The 12,787-nt window shown below is 37.0% G+C and overlaps 1 protein-coding gene and 1 pseudogene across 21 annotated transcripts in view; both read right to left on the bottom strand.

The window, feature by feature from the left end:
• MTMR1 (myotubularin related protein 1) overlaps positions 1 to 12,787 on the bottom strand; it is a 72,147-nt gene that overhangs the window by 41,582 nt on the left and 17,778 nt on the right. For 6 of the 21 annotated variants that reach the window (NR_148676.3, NM_001353993.1, XM_006724855.4 and 3 more), the window contains exon 3: positions 4,827 to 4,902. The exons of 1 other annotated variant lie outside the window; for it this stretch is intronic. Coding sequence is in view for 18 of the 20 variants with exons in the window: in XM_006724855.4 (XP_006724918.1) it covers positions 4,827 to 4,902 (76 nt within the window). In the remaining 2 variants the exon portion in view is untranslated. Of the gene's footprint in view, positions 1 to 4,826; positions 4,903 to 8,997; positions 9,049 to 10,556; positions 10,584 to 11,161; positions 11,186 to 11,698; positions 11,773 to 12,787 lie in introns of those variants that run through there. 14 more of the 21 variants (XR_007068204.1, NM_001353991.1, NM_001306144.3 and 11 more) reach the window with 7 other exon arrangements.
• CYP2C64P (cytochrome P450 family 2 subfamily C member 64, pseudogene) lies at positions 3,483 to 3,650 on the bottom strand (annotated as a pseudogene).

Genomic DNA, 12,787 nt, shown 5'->3' with positions numbered 1-12,787 from the left:
CAGGAAACAACAGGTGCTGGAGAGGATGTGGAGAAATAGGAACACTTTTACACTGTTGGTGGGACTGTAAACTAGTTCAACCATTGTGGAAGTCAGTGTGGCGATTCCTCAGGGATCTAGAACTAGAAATACCATTTGACCCAGCCATCCCATTACTGGGTACATACCCAAAGGACTATAAATCATGCTGCTATAAAGACACATGCACACGTTATGTTTATTGCGGCACTATTCACAATAGCAAAGATTTGGAACCAACCCAAATGTCCAACAATGATAGACTGGATCAAGAAAATGTGGCACATATACACCATGGAATACTATGCAGCCATAAAAAAAGGATGAGTTCATGTCCTTTGTAGGGACATGGATGAAATTGGAAATCATCATTCTCAGTAAACTATCACAAGGACAAAAAACCAAACACCGTATGTTCTCACTCATAGATGGGAATTGAACAATGAGAACACATGGACACAGGAAGGGGAACATCACACTCTGGGGACTGTTGTGGGGTGGGGGGAAGGGGGAGGGATAGCATTAGGAGATATACCTAATGCTAAATGACGAGTTAATGGGTGCAGCACACCAGCATGGCACATGTATACATATGTAACTAACCTGCACATTGTGCACATGTACCCTAAAACTTAAAGTATAATAATAATAATAAAATAAAAAAAGTTTAAAACAAAAGTACTCAATTCAACCATAAAAAGAGGGAAAAAAGAACAAAGAATAAATGAGACTAATAAAAACCAATTATCAAGATAGTGGATTTAAACCTAATTATATTACTGATTATATAAAATGTAAATGATCTAAACACCCCAATTAGAAGGCAGAGATTGTCAGTTTGGAGACAAAAGAAAGAACCAACTATATGTGGCCTAAAAGAAACTCACCTTAAATATAAAGACACAAATAGTTTGAAATTCAAAGGATGAAAATAGGTATATCATGTTAGTAAAATTTTTTAAAAGCTATAATGTCTATAATAATATCAGACAAAGTAGATTTCAGAGCAAAGAATATTACCAAGAATAAAGAAGGTCATTTCATGATAATAACGAGGTCAATTCGTCAGGAGGATGTAAGAATCCTAAACATGTATGTATCTAATAACAGCTTCAAAATACATAAAGCAAAACTAATAGAACTGCAAGGAGAAACTGACACATCCACCATTATGGTCAGAGATTTCAAAACCTCTCTCTCTACAATTGGTAGAAATAGACAGAAAATGGCTAAGAATACAGATCGACAAAATCTAATTGACATTTATAGAACAGTCTACTCAACAACAGCAGAAAACACATTCTTTTCAACTGCATGTAGAACATTTACCAAGACAGGGCATATTCTGGGACATAATATGAGCCTTGATGAACATAAAAATATTCAAGTTATAAAAAGCATGTTTTCTTAACACAAAGGAATGAAGGTAGAACTCAATAATCGAAGAAAATTTGGGAAATTCACAAATATATGGAAATTAAACGACACACTCCTAAATAACTCAAGGGTCAAAGAAGAAATCAAAAGGGGAATTCAAAAGCATTTTGATCTGAATGCAAATAAAAACACAAGGTCATAATTGATGAAATGCTGCTAAAGTAGCAGTGGGAGGAAAATCTAAATGCCTATACTAGAAAATAACAAAAATCTCAAATAAATGACCACAGTTTCCACCTCAAAAGCTACAAAAAGAGTGAATTAAACCCAAAGTAAGCAGAAGAAAGGAAATAATAAAGATCAGAGTGGAAATCAATGAAACAGAAAACAAAGAAAATAATAAAACCAAAAGCTGACTCTTGGAGAAGATCAATAAAATCAATAAACCTCTAGCCAGATGAGAAAAACAAAAAAGAGAAGACATGCACATTAATAATATCAGAAATGAGAAAGATGTCACTGCAAATTCTACAGATATTAAAGAGTAAGGAAATATGACAAATGACTTTATGACAATCATTTGACAACTTGGATTAAATGGACAAAATCCTGGAAAGACATAAACTACCAAAGCTTACCCAAAAGAAAACCACAGTCTAAACAGTCATATAACTACTAAATAAATTAAATTTGTAGTTAAAAACCTTCGCACAAAAGAAACGCAAAGTCCAAGCAGCTTCACTGGTAAACTCTACCAGATATTTAAGTAAGAAATAAGCTATCCCGGAAAACTAAGGAAGAGAATAATTCTCAATTCATTCTATGAAGCCAGCTTTACTCTGATACCAAAACCTGACAAAGCAATTACAAGAAAATTACAGACCAATATCTTTCATAAATGAATATTGACGTAAAACTTCTAAACAAACTTTTAATAAACCAAATCCAAAAATTTATAAAATGGATACTACATAATAAGCAAGCTGAGTTTATCCTGGGAATGCAAGGTTGATTTAACAATCAAAAATTAATTGACGTAACCCAGGATACTATAGGTTAAAGAAGAAAAATCATGGTTACATCAATCAATGCAGAAAGAGCATTTGAGAAAATCTAACATCAATTCCTGATGAAAACTCACAGCAAACTAGGAATAGAAAGGAACTCCCTCAACATGATAAAGGGCACCTATAGTAAAAACCTGCAGCTAACATTATATTTCATGGTGAAAGACTGAAAGCTTTCCCAAGATCAGAAAGAAGACAAGAATGTCCACTCTCACTTCTTCTCTTTAACATTATACTGGAGGTTCAATCAAGAGTAATAGGGTAAGAAAAAGAAATAAAAGGCATTCAAATTGGAAGGGAAAAACTGGAATGCTCATATACGGCTACTAGAAATGTATACTGGTACGACCACTTAGAAAACACATTAGCAGTTTTTTAAAGAAACTGTATAGCTATCATATGATCTAGCCACTTATCTATTAGGTATTTACTCAGGAGAAAAGAAAAGGTATGCTCATACAGACTTGTACATTAGTGTTCACAGCAGCTTTATTTGTAACAGCCGAACAGTAGAAACAACCCAAATATCCACCAACAGATGAATGGATAAGCAAACTGTCATGTAGCCATATAATGGAATTCTATCCAGCAATAAAAAAGAATGACTGTTAACTCATGCCACAATATGGATATCAAAATAATTATTTGATTTGAAGAAGCTAGACAAAAAAAGAACATACTCTATGATTATATTTCCATAAAACATAAGCTAGCCTATAGTGCTTGGGGATGGCGGAGAAGGCAGAGGAAGTAGGGATTATAAAGGGGAATAAGGAAACGAAAACTGGGAGGTGATGGATATGTTTGTTACCTTGACTGTGAATGATGGTTTCTCAGGTGTACACCGTGTCAAAACTCTTCACATTCTGACAATGACAAACTGAAGTAATACTTTAGACGGAGTATTTTACTTCACAATGACCTATTTAAATAGTTTGCCTCCAGGAATATATTTTATTAAAAAGTAGAGGGTCAATTTACTTACCCTTTGCAAGCCACCAGAGGAGCATAAAGCATATTTACATCACTTAAGGATTTGCAGATGTCCTTAAGATCTAACTCTAAGATATTTCCAATAATTCGTATTGGAGTGGGGCCAGGCAGGAGTTTCTCTCTCTCTGAGCTCTGTTTCCAGAGTGAAAGGAAAAGAAAATGGGAGAGAAAGAGCACCAGGACCGCAGCTAAATCCACTGAAGCCTTCTCTTCTTACTACAACAACTGTGAGCTTGCAATCCAAGCTTTTATAACGCTCCCTGCTCATTCAAAATATGTATCTGATGTGCAAAGTTGTCAATCACCTACATGAGCTCTAATCTTTTCTGAGCTCACTTTGACTCACTGACAAATTATAAAACTAAAGTGAAAAACAACCTCTTCACATTTTACATTTTACGCCTGTGTTGTTTACTGTCTGAAGAAGAAGCAGGGGCATGACATAATTACCTCTGCATTTTAAACAGATCATTAAGAAAACAGTATGAGGGCAGAGCTAGAAGAACGCCCAGAGAAGGAACAAAGAGTCCAGAGGACTGCCAGGATAGAATGAAGTCCTAGAACCCAAGGAAATAAAGAATTTCAAAACCAAGGACAAGATAAGCATGGTCCACAGACACAGACTAGGATATTCAGCAGCAATAATTGATTGGAGGATCTGGTGGGAGAGCCCCGCTACTCAAATATTCTTGGCACAAGATGACTATACTCTGAGACTGAGTGCGCCTCTTTGGGAGAAAGCCATGATGGAAGAAGGAAACAGTCTAGAAAACCAGACTGTCCAACCCAACCAAGTGATGAGATGAACGGATCGCATCCAGCTGCCCCTCCCATCCACCCATGGCACAATCAACTACTCCCTGAAAGGCCTGGCAGTACACCATGGAGGGATATGGGAGGCCTCATGCCATCACCTTTAAAAGCCAGGATGGCAACACAAGCCCTTGCCATGCACCAAAATTGTACTTTTTGGGATCTGATAAACCACTAAAATTTCTTTGCTGAGTTCTCAAAACTGTTATTAAAACATGATATAGGTCTCCTATATTTTCCTTATACTGAAGGATTCCAACAAAGCAGTGAACTGACATTACACTGAGTGTCTAATCAGCTTTCAGTTCACCAGGAAAAGTCAGGCCCCTCTTCTGTTGGGAACGCCATCAAATACTCAATTGGAACTTAACGGGATCCTCTGCAGTCTTCTATCTCTTAGGTCATGATGACACTAATGAGGATGAATAGATCTAGTCCATTTGTCCCCTAATTAAGTTGGTCTGGCGGATCTCCAGCACATACATCACCTCCACTTGCAAATTAAGTGCCATTTCATTTTATGGATCTCAAAAAGCGAAGTGTACACACTAAACTTACCAATGGCTTTAATTGATTCTCCTGGGAAAAGTGGAGCCTCTTCCATCTGTGCCAGCTTATTTCCATCCCTTAGAGCCTGGCAAAAAAAAAAAAAAAAAAAAAAAAAAAAAAAAAAAGGACACCAAACGGGAGTAAATCTCACTTTCCGTATACCTGTGAAGAATTTCGGTGTTCTGTGATGTCACTATAAGGCTACAGAAGCGTGCAAAATAAGCACCCAACCCCTTCAAAGACAACTTAAAAGCTTAGCATCACAAGACACCATGCTGCATATTCTAGCAAATTGTTACAACATATTTAAATTTCACAGTTAGGAAGCATTAATACAGAAATGGCTTGACATGACAGAAAGATACTGTAATCACTACACAGATAGCTATTAAAAGGTGTCTCTAGAATTTGCAAATAAGGCCAGAAAAAGGTTACCTTCTGAGCATGAAACTAATACAAATGAAACCAACATGAGCTATAGGTGCTTAGCTAACTGGAGAAATGACCCAGCCTAAGAGAAAGTTTGGGAAGGCCAGAAGTCTAATGAAAATAACCGGAGAACAGTCTCGGTACAGTACACAACTAAGGAAAGGCCTAGGCTTTGCTACTGCAGCCCAGCTATGTGTGTGTGTGTGTGTCTGTGTGTGCTCGTGCACACGGACATGCATGCACAAAGCGTATGACCAGGGACATGAAGAGTGAAGTTGTCAGTGTTCACCCAATCCAGGCCATGAGAGAGTGTGCTCTCATCTGGCAGGCAACAGTATTCCAATCCCTGCTGCGGAGCAGGGTGTTTTCGTCAGGCATGTCTCAAGACAATTTACTTTGCAGTAATTTCATACTCACCAAGCAAATTGCTAATGATTTACTAGGTTTCCTGGCTACAATGATGCTAGGAAAAGGATACCTTAGATGGCCAGAAAAATACACGCCCACGTTTTTAAATTAGCAGATTGGCACTGCAGCCCAGTAGCCACTCCCTTGTGAGCTTGGTTGGATAGTGCCAGATAATTGAGGGGAGGTGAGAAAATGGTGTTCTTGAACTACAAAGCTAGGGACCAAAGCCTGAACTCGGGGTCTATTCCAAGGTACCGCCACCCTGTGAGACGCTGCCAAGGAAACCAGTCACTTTCTCCTTGGCATCTCTGACATAATGTGTCATGAATAAGAATAAGGTGATCAGAACCCCCAGCAATTCCAAAGCTGTATTTCATAGAGCATTACTTTCCCAAGAGATGTGAATAGGTCTTAAAAAATAAATAAATAAATAAAAGTTTGGGAAATGCTGGGTTAAGCAAAACAAGTTCAGCTGCTTTTTTTCTTCTCCTTTTTTTTTTTTTTTTTTTTTTTTTGAGATGGAGTCTCGCTCTGTCGCCAGGCTAGAGTGCAGTGGCACAATCTCAGCTCTCTGCAACCTCTGCCTCCCGGGTTCAAGCAATTCTCCTGCCTCAGCCTCCCGAGTAGCTGGGACTACAGGCGCACACCACCACGCCCGGCTAATTTTTGTACTTTTAGTAGAGACAGGGGTTTCACATTGTTGGCCAGGATGGTCTCCATCTCTTGACCTGGTGATCCGCCCACCTCAGCCTCCCAAAGTGCTGGGATTACAGGCGTGAGCCACCGCGCCCGGCCTCATTTGCTTTTTTTAGTGAGACATCTTTAGTGTGTCAATGCACACCGAATCCGCAAGAGGGCGCCACAGTATAATGCATTCCTCATACCTATTTGATCGGGACTGCTTTTTCCACCTGTTAACATCGGAGGCCACTAGTGTTCAGTGGAAAATAGGTCGAATAATACTACGCTTTCAGCATAATTTTGTAAAGCAAAATATTTTTAAATGGATGTCTTTTATAATTCTAAATTATTGAAAATTCAAAATAGTAATTATTTTCATAGTTACAAGAATATTTCACTATGTTTTATTAAAGGACCTAAAGGTCAATTTAGAAATACTACACATAGTAGTTTCATCACATTTTATACAGGGAAGAAAGCCAAACTATAAATAACAAATTCAATGTTAAATGTTGGTCAGGGCTATGTTAGTTCTACTGGGAGACCACAAAATGACATGGTCCATCCTCCTCCTTATCCAAAGATGCATGGTTAAAATAATATAGATTAGGAATCATCGTTACCTCCAAACAGTTAATTCAATTCAAATTTTTAGCCCAGACTGGTTTTTAAAGACATTTTCTGCCAAAATTTTTTGGAAGTAAACACATTAAGGGTAGGTGTGGAGAACGATTAATGGATTCATTTTTATACTCACATCTGTTTTGGAAATATATTTTATGCAATAAAGCATAAACTAACAGGTATACTTATAAATGTCTGGTTTTAGAAACACTAAAAGATCTCCAATCTTAGAAGCCTTAATTTGAAACTCTGCTTTATTGCCTGAACTAGTGACTAACTGTATAGCATCTCATGAAGTGAGAAAGCTATTTTAATCAATATCAGAGTTTTAAATTACTTCAAATGTTACGTTGTTAAAGCCTATTTTAATGGCTAAATATTATCATGTATTATACAGACTTAAGTTTCTTATATGTTAAAAATAAGTGAAAATAGATTATTTTGAAATATAATTACTAAAGCAAGCTGCTTTAATCAACTGAATCTGGAGGAGCTTAGGAAAGGTATGACTCTCTCTATTTAGAGCAAGCCACATCAAACATTTTAAAGTCCTCAATCCAGGACTAGCTAATAAAATGTTGCATATAGGAGACAGAGGTGATTAGGACCATTTTAAGAATACACAATGCTCTCAAGATAGAAGTTGAAAATCAAGCATTTCTCTTCTCTTCCCATAGTCATGTCAAGTTTGGCTTGAAACTTCTGTGCATTTATATGTCAGTGAGACATAGTAAGGCAAACCTCTAATTGATAAATCTGGGACATGCCTTTTAAATGGCAAAAAAGAACAACTACTGGAATAAAACAAAGAAGTGACCCAATTGCTTCAGATTTCCCCGTAGGAGATTCCTTTTGTAAAAGAAACACATTTAGCTTTAGCATAGAAACTCAAGAGAAGAGTTTTAAAAGCTTGGAGGTTTTTTTGTTTGCTTTGGTGAGTATAGTAGATTCCCTTTATGAAGCTGCTGTTAGGAGAAGGGACTCACACTTGTGCTACATTAAGCTTTTACTGCAACTACAAGGTTGCACAGGACATGATTTGACCCTTGATTTATCCAACCCATGTTCAGCACAATCAAAGGATGGAATATTCTTATGAACTAAATTTGATTTCATAAACACACCCATTCCTCTTGGTGCCATGGCTCAAAGTGTTGCCCAGCTGGGGAATTCCCTCTGATGACCTCATCCCAACTTTGTTCCAGTGACCCTGAAGGTCTAGCCGAAGTCTGCCAGCTCCCTGAATTTGTTCCTGAGGGCTCCAGCCCACCCAACAACCCTGGCCTCTCCGCTACTTTTCTCCTCAGCCTGAATCCAAGCCGCCAGGTGGATAGTTTATATAATGGTTGCATGCCAAAAGCAGTGGCTTTCAAACTGGGCTCTTCAAGTTGCTTCCAGGGTCACCAAAGGAGAGTGGGGCTGGATGATGGTGGACAATGGTGCAGCTGAGCACCTGGGGCATGCCACACATCCCTGGAGCTGCTCTTCTCTTTGTTTCACATAAGCATTGGGGAAAGTACTGCAGCTTTAAAAGACTCCAGAGAGGGTCTAGAGGTACTGAGCAGAGTAAGCACTCAAGAATACTCTATGAATAATTTTGTATTCTGATTAATATATGTACCAATTCCACAAATATCTACATGGTACCAGGTACTGTGTTGGGCATAGATCATGCATATTTGAAGAAAGCAAAGTGTGCACCCTCAAGGAGCACCCTTAGCATATGTATCTGTCCCCTCTATGTCTATGTAAAGGCACTGCAGAATCCTACCGTGATGGAGGGTCATTAACCCCATCAATAACCCTATCTGGGCAAACCAAGAAACACAGACAAACAAATTTCTAGTTGACAAAATGTTGGATAAACCAATTTTTGCAAATAATGTCATATGGAATCTACCAAATTTGGACAGGAGGGCACTACTATTGTGGTAGAGGCATCTGGAAAGCTTTGCTTATTATCTAGAAGTCTAGAATGAAATGGCTTCTAAATACACGATCTGTAGCTACAAACAGATGAACACGTAGAACTTGCCACCTGATCAGCTTCAGCTTCAGAAGGGTAGCCATTGTGTTCTTCCTGAATCTCCTGCACAGCACCAGGTGCATGGACAAGAAAAGGCAAAGAGGAGAAAGAGAAACACGTGCAAACAGACAGGTGAAAGGACAGAATTTCTTTTTTAAGGAGACAGTAAGCATGTAAAAGTCGACACACCTTTCATGACTTTGCAAATCACAACATTTTCCCCCTTGGAGTTAAGGAAATAACATGTAGGCCATCTATAGCATCCACAGCCTAAAATGGAGTATCTATTCTGTGTTTGTGTTGGGGTAGAAAAATGAAAAGCAAACAAACATCATGGATTTCAAAGAATGTACTGTCTTTTCAAAACCAAGCAATAGACAGCATATAGCAAAGAAACAAAATAACAGGCACATAATGTGCTCACAGAAAATAAAGCATACCACAGAAAACTGGTAAAGGGCAAAGTCAAGCCAAAATACAAAGGCAGTTTATAGACATGTATTTTAAACACAGTAAGTATTCATATTACATTGCTCAGGGATCAATTCCACTGCACACATGCATATATCACATGCTGGAGATTATATATATATGTGTATGTGTGTGTGTGTGTGTGTGTGTGTGTATACACACATATATATACATGTCTGTTTCTTATTGCTTATTGCTAATTAAATTCTGTGATTTATAACTCAATATCATATTAAATATTTCTAATTACTCTATCAACGCACTTCCAAGAAACAGCTAAAAGGCCACACATCTTTAATTTTTTCCAATCCCTTTAAAGGTATACTGTTCTTAATTTCTTTATAGAATCTATTATTTTTTGAAACTTTAAAAATTGGGCTTTTTATTCAGCAGCTGGTAAAAAAGAATATGAATACTGAAGATGACAAGATTGTAATCTCTTTTTAAAATTCTATCAAGTCTCCGAGGCTAAAAATATTAAAATTTAGCCTATATATATTTTTGCTTCATGAAACTTTGGTTGCAATGATTATCGTTTTTACAAAGGCAACCAGTGAAGAACTAGTAAAGCTTTAAAAGAATTTACTATTTCCCACCTTCCATTTTTGTCAATAAAGTACAATAACTCCTTAATGTACTTTTATATTTTATCATCAGATTGAATTTAGTACACAGTTGGTATAGTTTAGCATACTTCAAGGCAGTGTAATTTTTCAGTGCAGCCAGTTTTTTGAAATTTCCATTTTTTAAATATAAAGAAAATCGAGTAATTAAGTTTTTAGAAACAGAAAACTCAATGAACAAAAAATACAACATTTCAAAGTTCATGCAAGTGTAAAGCCAAGCACTAATATTTAACAGTGTGAATCAATGAAAGAAAATGATTCCCACAAGCAAAAGAAAACATGATGAAAACAAGACTAAACAAAGGAAAACCAGCTAGAATAACAAGACTTAGCTTGCTTATTTTTGTACTACTTCATTGGCTTCAATAAGATTAAAACTTTTAAACTGAAGTTATTATACTATCAAAATCCACATTGTTTTCCTTGAATAGAAATAGGTTAATTTTCAATGTCTGTTAAATGCATGCACATTACCAATCTTTGTCTTGCTTTATGAATGTTCTGAAATAAAGGGAAGGAAAATCATGAGGAAAATATAAGCTGTAACCCACTATATCTGTATTTTAAAAAATAGTAACTGGGATTGATTTTGCTAAATTTAGCTTCAAGATTAGCACTTCTGCTTTTTTGGATTCAACATGCAAACACAAACATGACTTGAAATCTTACTTAGATAGGACAGCCAACTAACCTTTTTTTTTTTAGTTGCTAAATTCTGTAGCATGAATTACACAATAAACAAGATTAAAAGAGACCTCAGTAGCCCCAGCCTTATAACCCCAGTCATGAATATCCATTTGGTCATAATTCATGTAGTACAACAAAAGTCAGTATTGCACACTGGTAACAATTTTAGCATCCCGCCCTCACACACATTGGCTTTTATTGCACATGAAAACATTGTAACAAATAAAGCGTTTCTAGTGAACACTGAAAGCTATAACACAGCAGAGCAAATTGATCTGAGTGATTCATAAAAACCAGTGAGAAGGTAAAGAACACTAAATAGACTAAGTGTTCGATAAAGCACAGACACACACAAGTAGGAGGCCCATCCGCTGAAAGCCAAATATCCTTACCCTTAGATCAGGCCTCCTGAAAACCTGTTAGTTAAAATACAGAATATCATCATCATGGACATGTTACTATTGACCTGTGAAAGATGCCATTAAGTTCAACAGCCTATTCCCTAAGAAACATCATAATCCTCTAAGTAAAACCAACAAGATCAATCATAACACATTTGCCCTCTAAGTTTCATTCAATATCAGATCAATCCTAACACATTTGTCCTATAATTTTCAGGGAAGTCTATGATTTGGAGAAACATGTTGCCCTTAGGCTAAGACTAACTACATTACCTTAAACGCAAACCCCTTCTGTCAAGTGCTATTACAAGTTATTGTGAACAGGCTGTGTTCAAAAAGTTCATTAGTTTCCATTTGGAATACTGAATGCATTTTCCCCAAAAACCAATGATAAAAAAAAAAAAGGCAGTTATATGCCCAAACCAGCCCAGGAAAACAAAACCAAAAAACCACAGAAATCCCCACCTTGGACCCAGAGCAAGCACAGCTCAGCTATATTGCATTGATGGTATCATAAAGCTGAGTTACCTGCAAAGCTTAACCTGCTTTCTATTGAAATTACATTTCCAATTCATACTGGGGACTCCAATGTGGCCACTACTGAGAGGAGGGTGCCCGCTCCCCGCCCCAGCACCAGCTGCATGGCCAAAGGGGGGCTCCACGCGGGAAGAGGTAAGTGGCTGTTCCCGGAGAGGAGGGAAAGCCCAGCTTTATTCAGCAGGCACACTGATTTTAGCAACAATATTCTTGTTGTGCCTGAGGCCTGTGAATCCTAATTGAACATGCAGCATACACACTCAGAAAGCCCTGGTCAGAGGGAATGGCCAGAATTTTTAAAAAGCAAATAGTTGTAATAGCCTGGGAAGATTTTAACCATCTCTGTTCCCCATTTCAAAGTCTGAAATCCTATCTTCTGACCACTGAATGTCCTATGAAAACAAATAATCAGAAAAGAATCACTGGAGGTTCTTACTAGTTTTATGGTTTCACTCAGAATGCATAAGATCGCATGATACAGATTCAAAAAAATCACTGTATTATCATTAAAATAATCTTTGAAGTCATTAAAAGGTATCTGAATTAAGTGATGATATAGCTAAAAGACAAAGTCTATACATAAGTTACTAAACACAGACTATTCAGACTGAGAAGCTTAAATGTGTCTTTTTTTGGGAGGATGGATATGTTTACCTCAACTGTGGTGATGGCTTTAAATGTGTGTATTTCTGTCAAAGCTTATCAAATTGCACATTTTAAATATTTGAGGTTTATCATTTGTTAACTACACATCAAGAAATTTGATAATAAATAAAAGTAGTATATGTTTATGGTAATAACTCAAAACAGTAAGTCTCCCAGAGCTTCATTCCCCAGTAATAACCACACTTAACTAGATCTATTTTTAATTCTGAGAATTGCTTCCATTGTGATAGTTATGCTTCCATTTCTTGATTTGTCAACTTTAAAGTGTCTATTAACCTCCCATTTTAAAAGATGAGAAAATTAACTCTCAAACTACTATCTCCCTCTTCCCAATCTCTGCTGATTGAAATGCTAATTTTGAGTTCTTTTGTTTTCCTTCAGCAGCTGCTGCATCATAAAAAACACTCATGATTT

Source organism: Homo sapiens, chromosome X (genome assembly GCF_000001405.40).
Source record: "Homo sapiens chromosome X, GRCh38.p14 Primary Assembly".
Lineage (NCBI taxonomy): Eukaryota > Metazoa > Chordata > Mammalia > Primates > Hominidae > Homo > Homo sapiens.
This window is presented reverse-complemented; position numbering and strand designations above follow the sequence as displayed.